This window comes from Homo sapiens, chromosome X (genome assembly GCF_000001405.40).
Source record: "Homo sapiens chromosome X, GRCh38.p14 Primary Assembly".
In the NCBI taxonomy this organism is placed as follows: domain Eukaryota; kingdom Metazoa; phylum Chordata; class Mammalia; order Primates; family Hominidae; genus Homo; species Homo sapiens.
Window position 1 is genome coordinate 103,302,730 of NC_000023.11, and position 12,274 is coordinate 103,315,003.

Here is a 12,274-nt window from a genome sequence, read left to right on the forward strand (position 1 = left end):
TTGAAAAGATTGTCTGTTCCTCATGGAATTACCTTGGAATCTTTGTCAAAAATCAATTGGAGGGCCAAGCAAAATGGCACACGATTATAATTCCAGAACTTTGGGAGGCTGACCCAGGAGGATCACTTGAGGCTGGGAGTTTGAGACCAGCCTGGGCAACCCCATCTCTTCAAAAATAAAAAAATCAGTCAGCTGTGATGGCATGTATGTGTAATCCTAGCTACTTTGGAGGATGAGGCTGGAGTATAACTTCAGCCCAGGAGTTCAAGGTTACAGTGAGCTATGATTGCATCACTGCACTCCAGCCTGGGCAACAGAGTGAGACTCTGTTTCTATTTTTTTAAAAAATCAACTGGCATATATGTGTGGGTCTATTTCTTCACTCACTATCCCATTCCACTGATCAAGTTGTTTATATTTATGCTGATAAATACTGTAGGATTGCAATGCTCTATGCAAAGTGTTTTGATTACTGTACTTTTATAATAATCTTACAATAAAATAGTGAAAGTCCTCCAAAATGTTTGTCTTTTCAAAGTTGTTTTGACTGTTCTTAGTCTTTTAGACTTTTTAATATAAACATTAGAATCAAGTTGTCAATTTTTATAAAAAACTGCTAGGATTTAATTTATGTCATCAATGTTTGGTACTTTTCAGTGTGCAGGCCTTGTACATCTTTTGTCAAATTTATCCCAAAGTATTTTATATTTTTAGTGCTATTGTAAATTATATTTTTAAAAATTTTAGTCTGGTTATTCACTGTTTGTAATGTTTTGAATATTTTCCCCCAAAATCCATATCCACCCAGAACCTGAGAATGTGACCTTATTTTGAAATAGGGTATTTGCAGATGTAATTAATTAAGGGTTGAAATGAGATTATACTAGATTAGTGTGGGTCCTAAATCCAATGGGTAGATCCTTATAAGAGACAGAAAGAATACACAGAGAGACACAGAGAGGAGAAGCAGAGATGAGAGTCTTGCTGCCACAAAGAAATGCCTGGGGCCACTAGAAGCTGGAAGGGGTAAGGAAGAATTCTTTCTGAGAGCCATCAGAGAGAACATGGCCCTGGTGACACCTTGACTTTGGAGTTCTGGCCTGCAAAACTATGAGATGATAAATTTCTAGGTTTTTCTGAAGCCACCAAGTTTGTGGTAATTTGTTGAGGAAGTCTCAGAAAACTTAATACATTGCTAGTATATAGAGGTACAACTAAATTTGTATATTGTGGATTGTATCCTGCAACTTCTCTAAATTCACATTATTAGCTCTAGTAGCTTTTTGTATACTATTTAGGAGTTTCTTCATAGGCAATTATGTTTTCGATGAATAAAGATTGTTTTACTTCATCCTTTGCAATCGGTAATACTTTTATTTCTTTTTCTTGTCTTAACTGCCCTGGCTAGAACTTCTAATACAATGTTGAGTCAATTTTGTGAGAGTGTCCATTTTTCCCTTGTTTCCCATCTTGGGGGGAAAGCATTTAGTCTTTATGTACACATCATTATGTATGCTTTTGTAGATGCATTTTATTGGGTTGAGGTATTTTATCTATACCTGGCTACTGAGTATTTTAATCAGTAATGAATATTGGAATTCTGGCAACTGTTTTTTTCATTATCCATTGACATGATCATAATATTTTTTTTACTACGTTAATGTGGTAAATTATCATTTTTTTCTAATATCAACCCTACCTTGATTCCCTAGCATAAAACCTACTTTTGGTCATGGTGTATTGTGTTTTTTATATATCATTGGATTCAATTTTACTAACATTTTGTTGAGAATTTTTGCATATATGTTCATGAGGGATATTGGCTTATAGTTATATTTCTTTGTAATATAATTATCTGGTTTAGTTGTCTGGTCAATTATAACCTCATGGGGTGACTTGGAAAGTATTTCCTCATCTTCAATTTTCTGGAAGATTTTGCATAGAATTTGTGTTATGTCATCCTTAGATGTTTGAAAGAATTGCCAGTAAAGCCACCTCAACCTAGAGGTTTTTTTAGAAGGATGATTTTAAATAAAACTTTCATTATTTGATAATTGTAGGGATTTCTTTTATTCTAATATATGAATTTAGTGCTATAAATTTCCCCCTATGTACTTCTTTTACCACATCCTGCAAATTATCATATGTTGAGTTTTCACTTTCACTCAGTTCAGAGTACCTTCTAATTTCCCTTTTGATCTCTTCTTTGGGCCATGGGTTCCTTAGACATGTGTTATTTTGTGTTAATTTAAATATCTGAGGATTTTTCAGAGATCTTTCTGTTACTGGCTTCTCATTTAATTCCATTGTGCTTAGAAAACATAAGTTTTACTATTTGAATCCTGTTAACATTATTGAGATTAATTTTATGGCTCTGAATGTAGACTACCTTGGTAAATGTTCCACGTGCATGTGAAACAAATGTATAAACTACTGTTATTGGTGGCAAGTTCTATGCTGTTGTTCAAGTCTTATAGATACTTGCTGATTTTCCATTTTGTCAAATTTTGAGAGAAGGTTTTGAAATCCTTGTAACTGTGAATTTGTCTATTTCTCCTTGCAGTTCTATGTTTTTGTTTCATGTATTTTGAAGCACTGTAATATAAGAATGCTTAGAATTGTTGTGTCCTCTTGATATATATGCCACTTAAAATTATATAATGACCTCCTTTATTTCTTGTATTATTCTTGGGTCTGAAATTTATTGTATCTGATATCAATACAGTCATTCAAGCATCATTTTGATTTGTAATAAAATTATTCATCTTTTCCATCCTTTTACTTGTAAACAATTTGTATCTTTAAATTTAAAATAAGGTTCCTATAGGCAGCATATATTTGTGAGTTTCTTTTTTTTCACATACTATTTTTTAAATTATTGTTATACTTTAAGTTCTGGGGTACATGTGCAGAATGTGCAGTTTTGTGACATAGGTATACACGAGCTATCGTGGTTTGCTACACCCATCAACCCGTCACCTACATTAGGTATTTCTCCTAATGCTATCCCTCCTCTAGCCCTATAAAGACACATGCACACGTATGTTTATTGTGGCACTATTCACAATAGCAAAGACTTGGAGCCAATCAAAATGTCCATCAATGATAGACTGGATTAAGAAAATGTGGCACATATACACCATGGAATACTATGCAGCCATAAAAAAGGATGAGTTCATGTCCTTTGCAGGGACATGGATGAAGCTGGAAACCATCATTCTCAGCAAACTATCACAAGAACAGAAAACCACATGGACACATGGAGGTGAGTTTCTTTTCTATTCAATCTGACCATCTCTGCTTTATGACTGAGGTGTTTAAACCACTTACATTAATGTGACTATTGATATTTGAGTTTAAGTCAACCATCTTGTTATTTGTTTTCATTTGTCCTGTCTGTTCTTTGTTCTCTTTTTTTGAATTTCTTTCGACTATTTTGAGGATTCCATTTTACCTCATATGTTGGCTTATTAGCTATAACTTTTTTACTGGTTGATTTAAGGTTTATAGTACACATCTGTAATGTATCAGAATCTACCTTCAAGTGACATTAATATATAGAATAAGAACCTTAAAATTGTGTACTTTCATTTCCCTTCTTCTGGCCTTTGTGCTATTATTTCCCCCTCTTCTGGCTTTTGTGCTAAAACATACATTTTAATTTTAATATCCAGTAAGTCAGAGACAATCATAAGACTCATGTTACTTATTTACCCTCTTTCAGATAACTTTGCCCTCCACTCTCTGATAGATGGTAAGTGACTGAAAAGTGTTGTTTTCATATGTTCTGTCCAGGTTTTAGTTGTTTCAGTTAGGGAGGTAAATCCAGTCCCTGTTACTCCATTTTCACTGAAAGCATAAATGTGGATTAGTGTTTTAAATGACAGTTAATCATGAAGGCTTTATTTTACTTCTAACCAAAGTGTACTTCCTATGCTATCTGGAATTCCTGGAAGAGTCCAGTGTCTGTGTCCTTGCCCTACACTGAACTAGAATGTTCAAACTGCCGTGCTTTCTTTGGTCATACAATAGCCTTTAAGTTTACTTTCTACATTTCCTTCAATGGACTTGAATGTTTTAAGGAAAAAAAACGAGTAACTGTTTTGTTAGAAAGTTATGAGATATTATCTACATTATCTCAATTTTGTTAGAAATACGTAAGGATCCAAAAATGTATTAATTGTTACTATTTGCTGAATAGCACTAAATGAATATTTCTCTTGTCCAGTTTTTCATTCATTCATTCAACAAGTATTTACTAGATGTACATGATGTGCTAAACCCAAATGGTCTAATCCATATCTACATCTCAAACATCCATTTTGAACATCGTTTTTCTTTGAGAACCAAGGCACACTCTCTAAGCTCCCTGTCTGCTCTTTGCCAGAATTTGTAGGCTTTTATGGGAAGAATTTACACATTTTGTGAAGAATGGCCACAGTAAAGGAGAAAAGGAGGCTCACCATATAACCTATAGAAATGATATATAGGCAAATGCCTTCAGAATCTTAGCTATAGCTGCTCCCCTTGAGGGAATGTTATGCTCTGCTCTCTATTGCCTTTTGCTCACTGTCTGCTGGTTACTGGTAGTTGCTTGAGCATTTTATATGGAGCCTGACCACTCACATGCTACAGCCTCAGCTGCGCCTTCAGACACAAACACTGTGTTAAGAGCCAAGAGAAACTGGTTAGCAGAAGACTCTCTTCATAGAGTAGAATCTTAAACCCAACTTTCTCTGAGAAACTGACAGGGCAACTTCAATCTGCCTAGACATAGAAGAGATATGCATTTTTATGGGCATATGTGTGTCTCATCTTCTATCATGGGTATGATATCAGTTCACACATGAACTTAATTTCTCCTCATGAACACTTTTTTTTCCATTGAAGCTGGTGCTAACACTGACAATCAAGAGTAAGAAGTCTGGTAGGACATAAGCCTCTCTGTTCATCAATTTTCCTGACCTTTCAACTCTAGCCTCTCTATAATCTTCTGTCTTGTGTCTTAAGTGCCTGCAGGAGGAGAAAGAGCTTTGAAATTACTAAAGCATCTGATTCATGAAGTCTGGGATTTGTGATGTTATGTGACATTTTCACCTGCCTGTCCACTTTTCCCCTTTGGTTTCACAAGTTCTATTGCAATGTTATATTCTAGAACAGGAGTGGCAAACTTTTTCTGTTAGGACCAGAAAAAAAATATGTAGTCATTGTAAGCAAGCTATACTATCTCTTTCACAACTACTCAACTCTGACACTGTAGTACAAAAACAGCCATAGATAACATGTAAATCAATAAGCAGACCATTGTTCCAGTAAAAATTTATGGACACCAAAACTTGAATTTCATAGTTTTGGTGTAATATTCTCAAGTTTTTCAACCTTTAAAAAATGTAAAAATCATTCTTATAGGCCAAATAATAGGCAGTGGGCCAGATTTGGCCCATGGGTTGTTTGCCAACCCCTGTTCTGGAATCCTAACTTTAAGTTTATAAGACTGTCTTCATACATAAAATGTGTGTATTTCATCTAATTAGCACAAACTGAGGGGGATTTTATTTCCCTAGTTCTGCTGGGACACTTAACCCCAATTGTCTTCCCGTAGACTTCTCATAAAGATCTCATTTGTGTATCCATTTATTCACTAAGTGATTTCCTGATGTCCAACTCTGTATAGATAACAAAATTCTGTACATTCATGGATTTCAGGTAAATGTGAGCTGGTATGAGGTGGGACTATCTCAGATTGAAAGTGGGCTGTGTTTCCTCACACATCTTATAGTCTGCTATACTGAGGAGGAGGTTTCCTGGGAGAGAACTACCTGTAAGGAAAGATCTAGACAGACAATGTTTTTCCATGAAACAAAGCAGGGAGAGGGGATTTGTCCACTCTTTTGTAGAGTAGAGCAAGGATTCAATCCACTGGAAATTCCAGAGAAATTGGTGGGACTTTCTCACTTTCAGGATTTCTGAACATCTGCATTGGTAGGAGCCAGTGTAGGGAGCAAAACCTAGCAGAGTAATACCCAGGGGAGATGATGAGAATAGAGCACAGCAGCAGAGGAATGAAAGTACCTACTCCTTAGTCCACTGGACTTGTGAATATAGGGAAGACCTCACCTTGGAAATTTCCTCTAATAACAGAAGGGAATATCTAAAGTGTTGGGTCATGCATGTCAGTAAGAACAAGAACTTGGGAGAAAGCTCACAACCTCATTACCTTATCTGGTCCATACAACAAGCCTGGGAGGTGATTGTCTTCATCTTACTGATAAATATTATTATCTTCAAAGAGATGTGTCTCTTACATTTCTAAAAAGAGAACCCAGAGGCAAGCTAAAATTGAGATTCTGTCACAAGTGTTTAGTAAGTGCTCACATCGCTTTTATAAGGTGGTCACATTGCTTTTTATCAGTAATACGTGTTCCATTTTGAAAAATAAGAAATTATGGGTAAGCAAGAATAAACTCCCTCTTAATTCTACCACAGAGATAAACACTATTTACTATATATATGTGTGTGTGTGTATATATATATATATATATATATATATATATATATATATATATGACTGTTTAGGTGCATGTTTAAGATTTAAAGTAAAAAAGAATGCAGAGAATGCTTTTTAAAACTGTTTTATTAACTTCACAATATATAATGAGCATCTTTCCATGCAATAGGTAAAACTCTCCTGCTGACAGAAACTTACAAACTGGGTCAAAAACAACATTCATTTAGAAGCTGGTAATAGGAGACCCACAAGAAATAGGTAACATCAAAACGTTTACGACAAAGGTACACCACAAATGTGTAAGTTTAGGAAGCAGGGGTCTCCCTATTAACTTCAGGGAAACCATCAGGATTCAGGGCATAAGGCAAAACTCATCGTGATGGTCATGGTGAGGGGGATCAGTGCTGACTGCCCGCAAACTATGACTCAACTGCTTTTCCCTCAGCTTTTCCATCAGCTGTCTCACCTCCTCCCCAATCCTTTCCATATTCTCCTCTCTCATCCTTGCCTGTGGCTCTCCAAGCCTATGCATTATGTCCCATCTATACTGCAGGATGGGCTGCCTAACGCGGAACCGCCTACGGTTTCCTCTAGGCACACAGTATTCACTAACATTCAAAGGTAGGGCCAAGGGCTCCCCTTTATTAGCAACTTGCTCCTTTTCATCTTTTTCATCATTTTCCTGGTTGACATTTTCCACGATGAGATTGTTTAACGCTCGTTCCTCTTTGGACTCCATTACTCCTAGGAGACAGAGAGAAAATGGACTCAATTCTTGGTGAACTGATCAGCACCGAGGACAGAGGCCCGACTACCCACCTTTCAAAATTCAGAGCCCTGGATTTCAAAGGCCTTTTTTAAATTTCATTTTTTTTCCACCAGAGAGGCCCCATGTACCCTCGGGGGGGCGAGGGGAGCCAGTCTGTGCCCTTCTCTCCCGCAAAGCCCACCATCTTCTCTGCAGATCCATCTCCAGGCCTCTGCAGGCACCAAAATGGAGGACGAAGAAGGGGTGGGGGTGGGGGATTGCTAAGTGTGGGGGTGAAGGCACGGATTGGGGTCTCAGACTGGGCTTTCCTCATGTTCTGACCCCCTCCCCACCACCGTCCCTCGCACTGACCTGGGCCTATCCTTGCAGTCTCCTCCTCCCGATTCTCGACGTGAGGTGCGTCGCCGCAACACTTGGCCCCGCAAACCTGCAGACGGCCGGGGTGGGAAGAGTGGGGGCTGCTGCAGCGGAACGCTAGAGAGGACCCGCCGCCACCCGGCCCCTTCCCCACGCCGGGCCCGGGCCCTCCTAGCCGCTCTCGCCCCCCGCCTCAGCCGCCCAGCCCCCCAAGCTGACCACCATTTTCTGCATCAAGAAGGGCGGAGCAGGGGTGTTGGAAAAGCTTGCGCTGGTGACGGAGGCAGGTGCTTCCGAAAGGTCGTAGCCTCAGGATCGCCGGCTCCCGCGGGGCCGGGCACCCCTCCGCTCACACAAGGCTCGCGGTCCCGCGGCGGGGCCCCGGGGCTGCATCGTGGACCGGCTGCGTCTCCGCGCTGCTGCCCGGGGATGGGGCATCCGCAGGCCGGGGCTGCTCCCCCACACCAACCCCAGGGACCCCCTCCGGGTCCCTTACCTGCTCCCCCTCCGCTTCCTACTTTCGGGGCCGTACCTGGCCCGCACGTCCTCAGGGACACCGGGAACAGGTACCACTGCCGAGAAGGGAGCGAGCGACGGCGGTTCTGACGCCACAACGAGGTAAGACTCAGTGTTGGCCGATCACGTGTGGCTGTTGTCATCGCCAGAGGCTCCGCCCCCGTCCCACGCCCCCTCCTGCAGCCCGGAGTCAGGTGGTGCTTTCGGGCCCGCCCCCATCCTCACCGGGAGTCCCTTTTAACATCCCCAGCCTGGGCTCTGCCACTCTTCCTTCTCTGTATATTCTTGAGACTTCCCCTGCTTGCCCAGGAAGGACGGAAGGTATCTTCTCAGGGAGCTGTTGGCCATTCCCACTTCTCTGGGGACTTGCCTCTCTCTGCCCTTGGCTCCCAGGATTCACCTCCTTCTGCCTGTCTACCTCCTTCTGTCCTCCTACCAATATTCTCCGTTTTCTCTCCACTAAAATGAGTGGAAGAGGTGTATCAGGAAAGGAGCACAAGAGAGTAGGCTTTTCTCATTCTTAATACCTTTTCTGTATTATTTCTTTTGTAAAACACAAAAAATTAATATACTTCTTTAAAAAGGAAAAAAAGTTATTTTTACTTGAAAGACGGGATTAAAGTTGGGCAAAATGTCCCAACCACCTGTCCTGTTAAGTCATTATATAAATATAGACTCTACACGCAGCTGCTTTTTTAGAACTTGGAAAAGGACAGGGCAGCTGATGGCTCCCCTTTTGAGGGGCCCCTGGACACATGAGGCCCTTCTATGAAATGAGCTAGTGAGTTGTAGTGCTACAGAACCTTGTTGGGTTTTCATAACTAAAAGGAAAAAAAAGGCCTTTTTCACAAATTTCTGGTTCAAACGATAAGTATGTCTTTATTTAAAGATCAAGTAATCATGTATTTAGGAAATCCAGAGACATCTACGGTAAACCTACTATAGGAGTAAGAATTGATTTTAAGAAGGTTGCAGCTACAAGATAAATATTACAAACGTACTCATAAATTTATTTGAAAATGCAAAGGACCTAGAATAGACAAATAATTTTTTTAAAATATCCTACAAATCTTGAGAGTTACATTATATTATTTCAAGACTTAAGGTGTAATAATAAAGTTAGTGTAGTAGTAAACATAGACCTGTAGATCAATAGAACAGAATAGACTCCAGAAATAGACCCATACGTATGTTGTTAATTAGTTTTTGACAAAGATATCAAAGTAATTCTATATGGAAAGTATAGTCTTTTAAACTAATGGTGCTGAAATAACAGAATTCTTAAAGGAAAAAAAGGAGCCTTGCCTTTTATTTATACTATACACAAATTAATTCAAAATGGATCCTAGGCCTAAATGTAAAAGCTCAAATTAGAAAACTTCTAGAATAAAACATACAGAAAAACTTTACAATCTTTGAGAAAACAATTCCTTAGGACACAAAAAGAACAGATCACAAAAGAAAAAAATAAGAAATTGGATTTATCCAAATTAAAAACTTCTACCATTTAAAACACATGGTTAAGAAAATGAAGTGAGAAGCTGGGAGTAAATATTCACAGTATTTGTATCTGACAATGGTTTTGAATTCAGAGCATATATAAAGAACTTCGAAAACATAAAATAAGAAGGCAAATAATGCAGTAAAAATGATCAAAAGATCTGAATAAACATTTCACAAAACTACACACACAAATTACCAATGAGCTCATGAAAAGATGTTCAACCTCATTAACTATCAGGGAAATGTAAAATAAAGCCAGGATGAAAAATCACTGCACACCCATTATAATTGCTGAACTTAAAGTCTGACAGTCCCAAGCACTTTTGAAAATACTAAACAGCAGAAACTCTCACTGATTGTTGGTGAGAAGTTCAACCACTCTGAGACTTGGTGGCAGTTTCTTGAAAAGTTAGACTTACCATATGTCCTAGAAATTCCACTTTTCGGAATTTTCCCAACAGAATTTAAAACATATTTTCTCAAAAATATTTGCATAGGAATGTTCATAGAAATTTCCTTTATGATAGTCCCAAAGTTGATAAAAACTAAATGTCCAACAAGTGAAGTGATAAACAAATTGTGATGTATTCATACATTTTAACGCTGCTAAGCAATAAAAAAGTGACAAGCTACTGATACAAACAATAACATGGATGAATCTCAAAAAAATGAAAAAAATTTGTATCTATAAAGATACCAGCCACAATTGAGTGTTTTCTGCATGATTGCATTTATATAAGTTCTAAAACAGGCAAAACTAATCTGTACTGATATAAGTTGAATCAAATCAGTTTTTGCCTGGCTTGAAAGTTGAGGTTTTTGTGATTGCAAAGAGGCATAATGGAACTCTCTCAGCTGAGGAAAACATTCTGTATCTTAATGGGGTAGTGACTCCATTGACAAATACATTTGTTGAAATCATTGAACTATACAGTTAAAAGGTGTGTATCTTATTGTAGGTAAAATACAGCCCAATAAGTTTTGCTAAAAATCAAATATATAGAAATAAATCTAATTAAATACTTTCAAGACCTCTACACTGAAAATTATAAAATAGTTTCAAGAACATTAAAGAATAACTAAGTATAGGGATTACCATGATCATAGATGAAAACACTCAATATTTTAAGGATGTCAATTATACCCAAATTCATCTGTAAATTCAGTGCAATCCATATGAAAATCTCAACAGGTCACTTTTTGTTGATAAGCAGACTCCAAATATGTGTATGAAAATACAAAGAGCCGGGCCTGGTGCGGTGGCTCACGCCTGTAATCCCAGCACTTTGGGAGAGTGAGGTGGGCGGATCACGAGGTCAGGAGATCCAGACCATCCTGGCTAACACGGTGAAACCTGGCTCTACTAAAAATACAAAAATTAGCTGGGCGCGATGGCAGGCTTCTATAATCCCAGTTATTTGGCAGGCTGAGGCAGGAGAATCGCTTGAACCCGGGCAGCAGAGGTTGCAGTGAGCGGAGATTGCGCCACTGCACTCCAGCCTGGGCGACAGAGTGAGACTCTGTTTAAAATAAAAAGAAAAAGAAAATACAAAGAGTCAAATATAGCTAAGACAGCCTTTTAGATGGAGAAAGCTCCAAAACGTCCACTATTAGATATCAAAATTTAATACAATTTTATGAGTATGATATTGTCTCAAAGATTAAAATGTGTCTGTGTTTGTGTGTGTGTGTCTATCTTATATGGACCTGTGAAACATACCTACCTATACAGTCACCTAATTTATGATAAAGATGACAGTTCAATGAAGTGGGGGAAAGCATTTTTCTTTTCAAAAGTGGTTTTGAAAAGATTAGTTGGATATCCATATGGGGAAAAGATGTATATTGATTCCACCTTACATAATACATTAAAAACAAAAACGAAAAAAAAAAAAAAAAAAAAAAAACCTCAGTGGATTGCAGACCCAAATGGGAAAGGTAAAAATGTAATCCTAATGTAAAAAAACTCAGGGGATCACCTTCATGACTCTGGAGTAAGCAGTTTTCTTAAACAGGACACAAAAAGCACTAAGCATGAAGGAAAAAGATTATGGATTGCACTTTATTCATATTAAAACAAACAAACAAACAAAAAACTTCTAGGCCTGGCGCAGTGTCTCATGCCTGTAATCCCAGCATTTTGGGAGGCCGAGGCGGGCAGATCACCTGAGGTCAAGAGTTCAACACCAGCCTGGCCAACATGGTGAAACCCTGTCTACAAAAATACAAAAAAATTAGACAGGCATGATGGCGGATGCCTGTAATCCCAGCTACCCGGAAGGCTGAGGCAGGATAATCGCTTGAACCCAGAAAGTGGAGGTTGCAATGAGCCGAGCTTGTGCCACTGAACCCCAGCCTGGGCGACAGAGCGAGACTCTGTCTCAAAAAAGAAAAAAAAATTGTTTATCATACAACACCATTAAAAGAATGAGAAAGCAACCTGCAAACTGGGAGAAGATATTTGCAACAAATATATCTAACAAATGACTCATGTCCATAATGTATTATATAAAGAACTCTTAAAAATAAGTAAGAAAAGGAAAGATAATACAATGGAAAAATGGGAAAATATCTTTAAAAACAACACTTCACAAAACAGAACATTTAATACAATAAATGTT

The 12,274-nt window shown here is 38.4% G+C and overlaps 1 protein-coding gene across 4 annotated transcripts, besides 1 other annotated feature; it reads right to left on the reverse strand.

Annotated features, from left to right (window-relative positions):
* Positions 6,617 to 8,261, reverse strand: BEX2 (brain expressed X-linked 2). Of its 4 annotated transcripts, none has more exons than NM_001168401.2 (3): positions 8,167 to 8,261; positions 7,629 to 7,704; positions 6,617 to 7,252 (listed from the first exon to the last, which is right to left on the reverse strand). In NM_001168401.2, exon 3 carries the CDS (start codon positions 7,245 to 7,247, stop codon positions 6,861 to 6,863), a length of 387 nt encoding a protein of 128 aa, NP_001161873.1. In that variant the 5' UTR covers positions 7,248 to 7,252; positions 7,629 to 7,704; positions 8,167 to 8,261; the 3' UTR covers positions 6,617 to 6,860. The 4 variants fall into 4 exon arrangements, with proteins under 4 accessions (NP_001161873.1, NP_116010.1, NP_001161872.1 ...); NM_032621.4 differs by having other exon boundaries at positions 8,131 to 8,261; NM_001168400.2 differs by having other exon boundaries at positions 7,857 to 8,261.
* Positions 7,997 to 8,086: a silencer, noted in NCBI's record as "silent region_20920". NCBI's record gives its function as "represses an Ori minimal core promoter by ATAC-STARR-seq in GM12878 lymphoblastoid cells {active_cell/tissue: GM12878}" and the evidence as "EXISTENCE:reporter gene assay evidence [ECO:0000049][PMID:35858748]".

Coding starts and splice junctions, on each gene's coding strand:
- BEX2 (NM_001168399.2), bottom strand. Junction 7,253..7,628: donor GACTGCAAGGATAGGCCCAG/GTCAGTGCGAGG, acceptor TCTGTCTCCTAG/GAGTAATGGAGTCCAAAGAG.